Raw genomic sequence first — 12736 nt, 5'->3', positions numbered from 1 at the left:
CAGCTTCCATTGGAATTTTTCACGCGCGTCCGCCTGACAGAATTGATATACAAAAAACAACCAGCCAGGCCGGGCACGGTGGCTCACTTCTGTAATCCCAGCTCTTTGGGAGGCCGAGGTGGGCGGATCACGAGGTCAGGAGATCGAGACCATCCTGGCTAACACGGTGAAACCTCGTCTCTACTAAAAATAAAAATACAAAAAATTAGCCGGGCGTGGTGGCGGGCGCCTGTAGTCCCAGCTACTCGGGAGGCTGAGGCAGGAGAATGGCGTGAACCCGGGAGGCGGAGCTTGCAGTGAGCCGAGATCGCGCCACTGCACTCCAGCCTGGGTGACAGAGCAAGACTCCGTCTCAAAATAAACTAAATTAAATTAAATTAAAACAAAAAAACAACCAGTCAAATGAAGCTGCACTTCCTTAATGTGTACAATTTGATGAGTATGGACATAGGCGTAAATCCACGATACCACCATCACAATCGAGGTAATGAACATCTCCATCACCTCCAAAAGTTTCCTTGTGTTCCTTTCTGGTTATTCTCTCTCTCTCTCTCTCTCTCTCTCTCTCTCTCTCTCTCTCTCTCGGCCAGTGCACAGGTTGGTTTCATACATTTTAGGAAGGCAAGATGTAAGATGTACATGGTGCAGGACATTGGGGTGGCTTGGTGGGGGGCTGGGGCAGTGGGAAGGTAGAGTTTGATGTCGTAAGAGACAAATGGTTGCATTATTTTGGGTCTCTGATCAGCCTTTCACTAAATACACAATTTAACTGTAACAGGAAAGGTAGAGGCCGGGTGTGGCAGCTCACACCTGTAATCCCAGCACTTTTGGAAGCTGAGGCAGATGGATCACCTGAGGTTGGGAGTTCAAGACCAGCCTGACCAACATGGAGAAACCCTGTTTCTACTAAAAATGCAAAAATTATCTGGGCGTGTTGGCACATGCCTGTAATCCCAGCTACTCAGGAGGCTGAGGCAGGAGAATCGCTTTGGAAACTCTGTCAAAAAAAAAAAAAAAAAACAGGAAGGGTAGAGGAATAGTCAATTACTTTCATAGTCTGGCTCAGTGAGTCTGTATTTTTACATAAACAGTGTAGCAGAGGAAACAATGAGATAGGCATTTGTTGCAGATGTGCACATGGAGGACTTTCTGTCTTGCACCTGTGAAGATGAGCTACCAATGTAGGTCGCCAGGGTGAAATTAAACAGAACTGCTTTGGAGTAAAGATCTTGAGGTGCATGGCTGGGCGTAGAACCTCTGCGCTTTCCAATTTGAGACCCTTGGTGGGCAGTGCCTAAACACAGAGGCAACTGCAGGTTTCTGGCTGTGGGCAGTGAATCTAGGAGTTTCCGTGTGGAGGCACCAAATCACCACTGCTCAGTTTGTTTAAGGTATCTGGGTCTTTTATAATTTTTTTTTTCTTTTCTTTTTTGGTCTTTCAGTGGCTGTTTCCCTGTAGTTCCTTGGAAATTGAGGGCAATTAGCTAGGATCACTCTCTTGTGTTACCTGAATGCCAAGGAGTGAATAGGAATAATTGTCCTGTCCAGAAGGGGGAAGGACCTTTTTTTTTTTTTTAATCTGTTCCAGGTGTGGTCCCTGATTCCTATGTGTGATGCAGCTCAGAGTAGACTTGCAAATGTTGCAGGAGATGTAAACCTTCTTTTCTTATTCTCCCGTTATCCTACTCAACTGGCTAAGAACAAAAAACGAACCCAGCTTCCAGTTCCTATCATTAACGTTCATGGAATGGGAAGCATGGGAAATCATGGCCTTATCAAATTATAAGGATGCCAGCAGTCAAGCCTTTCCTGCAGTGACAAAAATGAAAGCTCATAGTAGAGGCGGGCAGATCACGAGCTCAGGAGATCAAGACGATCCTGGCTAACACGGTGAAACGCTGTCTCTACTGAAAATACAAAAAAGTAGCCAGGCATGGTGGCACGTGCCTGTAGTCCCAGCTACTCGGGAGGCTGAGGCAGGAGAATCGCTTGAATGTGTGAGGCAGAGGTTGCAGTGAGCCGAGATCGCGACACTGCACTCCAGCCTGGGTAGCAGAGCCAGACTCTGTCTCAAAAAAAAGACCTTGAGGTCCACAATGAATTTCTCTTTTGGGGCAATTGTGAGGAATCTATGTAGCTTTTTTTTTTTTTTTTCCTGAGACAGAGTCTTTCTCTGTCACCCAGGCTGGAGTGCAGTGGCACGATCTCAGCTCACTGCAAGCTCGCCTCCCAGGTTCACGCCATTCTCCTGCCTCCGCCTCCCAAGTTGCTGTTACTACAGGCGCCCACCACCATGCCTGGCTAATATATATATATATATTTTTTTGTATTTTTAGTAGAGACGGGGTTTCACCACGTTAGCCAGGATGGTCTTGATCACCTGACCTCGTGATGCACCCGTCTCAGCCTCCGAAAGTGCTGGGATTACAGGCATGAGCCACCGCTCCCGGCCCTATGTAGCTTTTTTTTTTAGCTTTGTCTTATTCTCATCTCAGGTTTGCCTGCCACAGTTCCCAGCTTGACTTTTCTCTTTGGCCTCGTAGTGATTTGGGGGTTCCAACATTTATTTTTCCTTTCACACTCTCTTAGTTGAGTAGTGCCATATGCATAATTTCAAAATAATCAAGGTGTAAGAAAATGTAACAAACTACTTGGCAATATACACTCCTACCTTAAATCAGGGATTGGGTGATAAAGCTTCCTTCCAAACAGTAAGCAAATTGATGTGTTTACTGAGCACTTATTCTGTGCCAGGCATGCGTTTTCACTTTTCACATGGCCTAAGTGTGTTGAAAGAGCCTTAGCCAAACAGGCTAAGGGATGTGGTAATGTGGCAGGCCAGGTCTCACTAACACAGGCCTCTATAACAACTGTTTCAGCACTGACTGATGGGTTAAGTTAAATATTAAAAGCTGAAAAAGCCAGTGTCCTTATACAAAGGCTGGAATGCAACAAAAGTCCACCAAGAGTTTTCCCCAGGCCTTTCCTGAACCTTAAAAGCATGATTAAACAAGTTTTACTGGGGATCTGAAGAAACTCTTCAGGCCTTCACAAAAAAGTTTCTTAGGGGGTCTGAAGGAACTTCTCAAACCTTTATGATTTAGCAGGTGACAAGTATAATCATCCCAGCACCTGCACCCACTGAGATTAAGCAAATTTACGGAGACTCCAGAGGAAAGTCTTCAGGACTCAGACCTTGCTTGTAGATTAAAAGAAGTATTCACATATGTCTTTAGATGAATGCACACTTACATGTAGATATAGAGCTTAGAAGCTATAGAAGCTCTGGAAAACTTTGTAATTTTGAGTCGGCCTGGCAATAATTTCCAGGCCTTCTCCCTGTAACCGCTTGTAGAAATAAAAACTCTTCCTCCCTCCCTCTGGAGGGAAAACATGCAACTGGCACTTGTACACTCCTAAGGTCAGAGACATCTGACTCTAAGATTGGGGGATGCACAGGTAGGGGAATTCTTCAGACCTCACCCTCTCCAAAGGAGAGGCCCTTGGCAGGGGTTCTGAGGTCTAGTACTAAGCCCTCCTTAGAATTTTCTCTGAATTGCCATACTGCTTGTCCCGAATATTGTTTGGAACCTGGAGTTTGCAGTTGAATGGGAAAGTGGGATGACATTGCATGTATCCAGGTTTTTGTACTGCTGTCTTAAGCAAGGGGCCTGGTTAATGTGTGACACTCTCATTTAGTGCTGTTTGGCCCCAGTACCCTTTGGAGTCGGGGGAGGTTTGGCCTTTAAAAATCTGCCATGGAGACTCCTTCAGCAGAAATTTTGGTTCACAGACTTCACTGAATTATCTGTTCAGGCAAACAGGCTAAAATCAGCAAGCTTATGTTGCTATCTCATGGCTGATGTTCTAAGCTATTGGATCTTTGTTTATGTGTGTGTATACAGGTCTAATGTGTTAATTTATATGTACACTTATTGTCATATGGTGTGTCTACCAAATTGGCTTATAACTAAGAGTGCTCATAAATTAAGTAAATAAGTATAAGCAATTTTCAAGTTCATGTGACTCAAATATAACTTTACTGAACAAGGTGGCTTTAAAATTATTTAAACTAATTTTAAAAATTATTTTAGAATAAAAATAGAAATGCCTTCTGAATTGTCAGCATACATTTTGTCTGAATTTTATGTTTGTCTTTGCTAGCTATTTTAACATGTCAGTGTTTGGCACAGAAGGTTATAAAACTATAAACTCAGCCAAAACAAAATTATCTTGGTTTGCATGCTTTCTGTTGATGAATGAGAGTAACTTATGAAAGGAAAATATTTTGCGCTCCCCAAAATCACTAAGCTGAAGAGAAAATTCAAGCTGGGAATGCTTATGGCCAACCTGCCTTCTATTGTATTCAAACTCACCCCTCTGCTCATTAAGATAAATGCATATCCGACTGCCTACCTCAGAAAGGCTTATCAGAAACTCAAAAAAATGCTACCGTTTGTTTCCCACCTATCTGTGACCTGGAAGTTCCCAACCCCCCTCCCCACTTTGAGTTGCCCTACCTTTCCACATGGAACCAATTTCATTTTACGTGTGTTAATTGATGTATCATGTCTCTCTTGTTCAAAATGTCACATTTGGGAGGCCAATGTGGGCAGGTCACAAGGTCAGGAGATGGAGACCATCTTGTCTAATAAGGTGAAATCCCATCTCTACTGAAAATACAAAAAATTAGCCTGGTGTGGTGGCAGACACCTGTAATCACAGCTACTTGGGTGGCTGAGGCGGGGGAATCACTTGAACCTAGGAGGCAGAAGTTGTAGTGAACCGAGATTACACCACTGAACTGCAGCCTGGGAGACACAGCGAGACTGTCTCAAAAATAATAATAATAATAATTAATAAAGTGTAACAATTGAGTACAATGAATGGAATAAATGTTTTAGGTAAACCCTTTCTGTAAATTAAAATCTTAAAAGTTATTTCCGATGCTCATTTCATATCTGCGTCATTTCCAATTAAGAAAGGGTTGTAGTGTAGGGAAATATGTTCTAAAATTGTGGAATTGTTCTTATCTGTAAATGTCCATATCTGATAGTTCAGAATTTCTTACATTTTAGGGTTTCATAAGAATTCTAGTTAACATGTAATTCTGTATACAAAATGTGCCGGAAAAGGTTATGTTATTAGGATTATGTTATTAGTACCTCCCCAGACTCCAAAGAGACAAAAACAAACAAAAAAATTTTGTCTATTTCAGTAGTTATCCAAAAGGTAGTTCAGATTACAGATTTGAAAAGGTTATTCTTGAAACAATGTGGTAATGAACCATTCAGTAGGTGAGAAAAATGTGGAAAAATTATATTATAAAATATTCTTTAAAACCTGATAAAGAATTGGACACATTTGGCTAATTAACATTTTCATAGCTAAAGCTCTTCATCTTGATTAAAGCAAAGTAAGAAGTATTGTAAAAAATGCACTGGCAATTTGACAGTTCTTTTTTTTTTTTACATACAGTTAAGCCTGAAGCTGGATTTAGTGTGGAGCCAAGTTTCAACATACATGCTTGCATTGCTTCACACTATGTTTACTATTTTATGTGGATAGTGCCAGTACTGGAGTCCTTATTGGTCATGTTGACAGAACAGGAGTATTGCCATCATGAACAAGCACCTCATTTTAAAATTCATCTTAATCAAAAAACAGCCTAAATCCAAAGGACAGCAGCCTAATGGCAAAAGTCAGCATGACCCTAAACCACAAATAACATCTCCAACAAGAAACATTACAAACTCCTCCCCATCCAGAGACACACTAGCCCAGAGATAACCCCCTACTGCCAGAAAGATGTCAGCCCCAAGATAACCTCCCCTCCTCCCAGAGATATTCCAAACCTTCCATAAACTTCTCCCCCATATAGAAACATTCCAAACTTGTAATAAACTCCCTCAGCCTAAAACCAATATATACTCATACAGTTTGTAAGAGAAAGTGCTCCTGACTGAAATTAGCTAGAAGCCCCTCTCAAGTTTTGTCTAAAAAAAAAACAAAAAAAAAAACTGTCTTTCACTGTTAAATTGCATTTCATGTTTCTTCCCTTTTTTTTTAACTCTTAAAAATGTGTTTACAGTGAATTTCTGAATTGCACAGGATGGATGATGATCTTAATAAACTTAAGGACATTGAATTGTGTATCAGGAATAAAATATTATGCATAGTTTTTTGAGGGGGTTCTGGGTAACACTGTAGCCTCCAGAGAAGATTAAATACAAAAACTTCAGGTTGATTTTCTGTTTATTTGTTTTTGCTTCTAGTTTTCATTTGTTTGCTGTTTCCTTCAGATTTTGCTTATGCATGCATATTTATACATATATAACCATGATTTTCTTTTAGGTTCTAGTGGAAGGCTCTTATTTGGTTCTGTGAATAGTTATTTTTGTTTCCTATGCATTTCTATCAAGTCACCCTTTGTACCGTTTATCTGGAATTCCTAAGCTATCTTGGTCAGGCTTACAGGAGTTAATGGAGCACACTAGCCTTTTAACCTTAAGCTAATTTTTTGGGTTTTAGGCTTCTTGATACTTTAAGCATGTTGAATGTACTTTTGTAAATAGAATTTGAAGTAAGAATTTCTTACCAGTCAGTTTGACAGTTCTGGTCTCTTTCTCTCTGTGCAAACCAAAGTCATTGTTTATCTCCTCTGTAATGTTTTAATTACTAAAAAGAGCTTTAATTAATTCGTTTAATAATGAACTTAAATCAAATATTTTGTTTTAAGTAAGTAAAAAGTGTAATGCCTTTTAGTTCACATAACTTTACTAATCTTATAAACAGTTTTAAAGGTTATTGGTAAAATACAAATGTCTTCAAAATGTAAACATGTGGTCTAAATTATGTCCAAATATTAGGTTTGCTAAATGCTTTAAGTTTATAAGCTGCTTCTTTGTCTTTTGAGAATTGTTTAACTTGCCTGCTTTCCAGCTAGGTAAGTCCTGGGGACATGTGGAGTTGGCCACACCCCTAGCTATGCTGGAAACAATCAGATCTTATCAACACCTAGCACATAATTAACATAACAGGTTTTATGTTAAAATTAAATTGCTAAGAATCAACATTGTAACATGCAATTAAGACTGCTAGAAACAGTTTTACATGCAAGGTGTGTAAGAACAGTATAATTTTTTTTTAAATAAAAGGTTATATGAAAGGTTTTCACTTCTTTAAAATTTCCGAGTCATGATTTTGGCAAAATACATAATTTATGGTAATCTGAAATTCAAAAATCTAACTTCAGTTTCAATGTCTTTCCTAATGCCTGGCTTTTTGGATGGATCAGAGAGAGGGCCCCTGAAAGCATCCAGAAGAGAGATTAACAGGATTACTTGACATGCTTAGTTACTTGGGATCATCAAAATGATGTTCAATCTTTATTTTATATTTTGGTGAATAAGACTAATATACATTCCAAAATTGTATGGGATTTCTAAAATTCTAATGTCTAAATATATGCTATCCATTATAATTATGGTTATTCCGGTTTTTTTGTTTTGTTTTGTTTTTGAATTTTGAGTCTCGCTCTGTTGCCCAGGCTGGAGTGCAGTGGCACAGCCTGGGCTCACTGCAACCTCCACTTCCTGGGTTCAAGCAATTCTCCTGCTTCAGCCTCCTTCATAGCTGGGATTACAGGTGCCTGCCACCATGCCCAGCTAATTTTTCTAATTTTAGTAGAGACGGGCTTTCATCATGTTGGCCAGGCTGGTCTCAAACTTCTGACCTCAGGTGATCCACCCACCTCAGTCTCCCAAAGTGCTTGGATTACAGGCATGAGCCACTGCACCCAGCCTTAAGTTATTTTAAATCACAGAATAACCAAATTTTCTTATATAAACCTACTAACCCAAGAACAAAAAATTAAATACCAAGAAACTACCTTGTCAGATTTTCATGTTAAACCAGCTGATACTGAAATTGTTTAAATATACAATTTGAATAAACTCCACAGTCTCAAGTTGCGTTACCTATGATAACCCATTAGTTATCAGTGCTAATGATAAACCCATTTGTTATCAGTGCTATGCACCTAATTTGGAAAATCAACTGGTATTCAAGAGGCAGTAATATTAATTAGGCATGGACTCATGGAGAACCAGCAGGATGGCCACCTTGTCCTTCCCAAGTCTTTAAAGCCTTTATTATTAAAAATTCTGCATTCCATGACTCATCATGGAAAAGATAAAATAATCCAAATTGAATACATTTGTGTGGTAACTTAACAAATTACTAAAATATCTTGTATCCAATGTTTGGTCCCATATTCCTGGGAAAACAAAATTTTAGGTACACTTGGTCAGCTGGTGGGCCATTTAAACACTTTTAAGGGATTTCAATTGTAATTTTCAGTGCATGTTTTCTGGTTATATAAAAGCTTTAGCATGCAAGAGGGTTGATGTTATAACAGTAAATTATTATGCTACAGGGCATTTTCACCAGGTAAGGGAAGTTTTTTTTTTTCTGGCTTCACAATTTTGTTTTATCAATATGCATCTGTGAGCCAGTATTGCATGCATATACATATGCATGTGAGCCAGTATTGCACTATCTTAATGACTCTGTAGTAAGTTTTGAAACCGGGAAGTGTGAGCCCTCCAACTTTGTTCTTTTTGAAAAGTGTTTCGGCCATTCTGAGTCCCTTGCATTTTTGAATTTGAAGTTCAGCTTGTCGATTTCTGCCAAAAAAAAAAAGGCAGCAAGGATTTTGATAGAGATTGTGTTGAATCTGCATGATAATTGGTGGGGCATTGGCATCTTAAAGGCTTAATAATAAGTCTTTAATTTTAAGATAATAATCAATATTATCCATGAACATGGGGTGTCTTTCACTTATCTAGATATTTTTCAACTTATTTTAACAATTATTTAGAGTTTTCAGTGTATAATTTTTACATTTCTTTTGTTAAAATTTTCCAAAGTATTTTATTCTTTTTTATTCTATTGCAGATAGCATTGTTTTCTTAATGTCACTTTTTGGATGTTCATTGCTAATGTATAGAAATACAACTGATTTCTTTATATTTGTCTTGTATAACATAAACTTGCTTAATTAGTTTGTTAGTAGTTGTGGGTTTTTTTTAAGGGATTATTTAGGACTTCTTATGTAGATGATGTCATCTGCAAATAGAGATAGGTCTACTTCTTTCTTTCCAGTATATATGACTTTTATTTCTTTTCCTTTCCCAGTTCCCCTAACTAGAACCTCTAGCACAATGTTGAGTGGAAGTGACTAGCGTGCACTGATCCCTTTCCCGTTATGTAATGCCGTTCTTTTTCTCTTTTGATCTTTGTTGGTTTAAAGTCTGTTTTCTCAGAGACTAGGATTGCAAACTGCTTTTTTTGCTTTCCATTTGCTTGGTGTATGTTCCTCCATCCCTTTATTTTGAGCCTACGTGTGTCTTTGCATATGAGATGTGTCTCATGAATACAGCACATCGACGGGTCTTGAGTCTTTATCCAATTCGCCAGTCTGTGTCTTTTAATTGGGACATTTAGCCCATTTACATTTAAGTTTAATATTGTTATGTGTAAATTTGATCCTGGCATTATGATGCTAGCTGGTTATTTTGTCCATTAGTTGATGCAGTTTCTTCATAGTGTTGATGGTCTTTACAATTGGCATGTTTTTGCAGGGGCTGGTACTGGTTGTTCCTTTCCATGTTTAGTGCTTCCTTTAGGAGCTCTTGTAAGGCAGTTCTAATGGTGACAAAAATCTCTCAGCATTTGCTTGTCTGTAAAGGATTTTGTTTCTCCTACATTTATGAAGCTTACTTTGGCTGGATATGAAATTCTGGGTTGAAAATTCTTTTTTTTTAAAGAATGTTGAATATTGGCTCCCACTCTCTTCTGGCTTGTAGGATTTCTGCAGAGAGATCTGCTGTTAGTCTGATGGGCTTCCCTTTGTGGATAACCCGACCTTTCTCTTTGGCTGCCCTTAACATGTTTTCCTTCATTTCAACCTTGGTGAATCTGACAATTACATGTCTTGGGGTTGTTCGTCTCAAGGAATATCTTTGTGGTGTTCCCTGTATTTCCTGAATTTGAATGTTGGCCTGCCTTGCTAGGTTGGGGAAGTTCTTCTGGATCATATCCTGAAGAGTGTTTTGCAACTTGGTTCCATTCTCCCCCATCACTTTCAGGTACACCAGTCAAATGTAGATTTGGTCTTTTCACATAGTCCCATATTTCTTAGAGGCTTTATTCATTCCTTTTTATTCTTTTTTCTATAATCGTGTCTTTTATCTTTATTTCATTAAGTTGATCTTCCATGTCTGATATCCTTTCTTCCTCTTGATTGATTCAGCTAGTGATACTTGTGTATGCTTCACAGAGTTCTTGGGCTGTGTTTTTCAGCTCCATCGGGTCATTTATGTTCTTCTCTAAACTGGTTATTCTAGCTAGCAATTCCTCTAACCTTTTTTCGAGGTTTTTAGTTTCCTTGCATTGGGTTAGAACATGCTCCTTTAGTTCAGAGGAGTTTGTTATTACCCACCTTCTGAAACCTACTTCTGTCAATTCATCAAACTCATTCTCCACCCATTTTTCTTCCCTTGAGGATGAGGAGTTGTGTTCCTTTGGAGGAGAAGAGGCATTCTGCTTTTCGGAATTTTCAGCCTTTTTGCGCTGGTTTCTCCCCATCTTTATGGATTTATCTACCTTCGGTCTTTGATGTTGGTGACCTTCTGATGGGGTCTCTGAATGGATGTGCTATTCCTTTCTGTTTGTTAGTTTTCCTTCTAACAGTCAGCCCCTCTGCTGCAGGCCTGCTGGAGTTTGCTGGAGGTCCACTCCAGACCCTGTTTGCCTGGGTGTCACCAGCAGAGGCTGCAGAACAGCAATGGTTGCTGCCTGTTCTTTCCTCTGGAAGCTTCATTCTAGGGGGATACCCACCATCGTACAGGAGATGCCAACCAGAGCTCTCCTGTATGAGGCGTCTGTCAGCTCCTACTGGGAGAAGTCTCCTAGTCAGGATACACAGGGGTCAGGGACCCACTTGAGGCAGTAGTCTGACCCTTAGCAGAGCTCAAACGCTGTGCTAGGAGATCCGCTGCTCTCTTCAGAGCTGACAGGCAGGAACATTTAAGTCTGTAGAAGCTGCCCACAGCTACCCCTTCCCCCAGGTATTCTGTCCCAGGGTGATGGGGGTTTGGTCTATAAGCCCCTGACTGGGGCTCTTGCCTTTTTTTTTTAGAGATGCCACGCCCAGAGAGAAGGAATCTAGAGAGGCAGTCTGACCACAGCAGCCTTGCTGTGAAAGCTTTTTACAGTTTGGATCTTCTGAGAACATCAAAGAAAAACTGACCTTGCCATCCACACTACAGCAAAACTTAAGGACCTTGAACTTTAGGTTTATCATCTCACAGCTGAGAAGGGTCCCTCCACACTCTTGGAACTGTACATCCATTGGAACCCTTAAGGTAAAACTAACCAGGGAGGTTTCTCCCCAGAAGAGCATGCTGTCTTTGATGTAAGCAACTTTTCTAAAGTTCACAGATTAAGACTTCTACTATCATGAAACTTATCTTTGAAAATTTTATCTTGCTATGGCTCTATGAACAATAGAAATGGAAAGGAGGTCTCTTATATGCACTTATGGGGTGTACTTTTATTTGTGAATGTGTTTACAGCCAGCCTTATACATGGATAACTTTATACTTTGGTGGATACAAGATAAAGGCCCAATGTCAGTAAGAAACTTTAATGGTACATACATTGCCTCATAATCAATCAGAAACAAAATATTGGTTCATTCCTCTTAACCCACATCATGGGTTAAAGAGAACATTACCAGGAGGCCTTCACTCTTCCTGAAAGGCATCATTTGTTAGGTTTTTCTTCCATGGTTTAAAATAGAAGAAGCAATGATTACAAATGTATGCTCATGATAGGCTGTATAGCAAATTCCACTGTAAAGGATGCAACAAACTTTAAATTCTCTTTTGGAGTTCACACAGAATTGGCAGAACAGAGAAGTATCTCTCCAGTTGCTGGTACTCATGGCCTACTGGAAAAATTCACTGGTAGAAGATTAATGAAAAGACTGCTTAGTTAAGTATGTAGACTCTTTATCTAGCTTATCCTTTGATCTATTTAATCTTAAGTTCTGGTTTGTGGTACCTTAGGTAAAGAGCATACTCCAACTTCTTGGTATTATCCTCCCAATAGTCATGATAATACTCTCCCTGATGTGCTGTTGTTCTCTCAAAGGTTTTAAATGCTTGCCTGCAGCCATCTCTAGAATGGTCTCTCTTCAACTGGAATGACAAGAGCTGAAAGAAATCTGCAACCAGGCCAGGCACGGTGGCTCACACGTCTAATCCCAGCACTTTGGGAGGCCATGGTGGGTAGATCATGAGGTCAGGAGTTCAAGACCAGCATGACCAACATTGTGAAACCCCGTCTCTACTAAAAATACAAAAAAAATTAGCTGGGCGTGTGGCACGCACATGTAATCCCAGCTACTCAGGAGACTAAGGCAGGAGAATCGCTTGAACTGGGGAGGTAGATATTGCAATGAGCCGAAATCACACCACTACACTCCTGCCTGGGCGACAAGAGCGAGACTTCGTTTCAAAAAAAAAAAAGAAAGAAAGAAAAAGAAATCTGCAACATAACCTATGAATGATGTGCTGAGATGGGAAACCCAAAATGATGGTAAATCAGAGTGGCACTAAGGCCATTGTCTCACCATGGCAACCCAAAAAACAGCAGTCACAGTCTAGGT

The sequence above is a fragment of the Homo sapiens genome, chromosome Y (genome assembly GCF_000001405.40).
Source record: "Homo sapiens chromosome Y, GRCh38.p14 Primary Assembly".
Taxonomy (NCBI): domain Eukaryota; kingdom Metazoa; phylum Chordata; class Mammalia; order Primates; family Hominidae; genus Homo; species Homo sapiens.
This window is presented reverse-complemented; position numbering follows the sequence as displayed.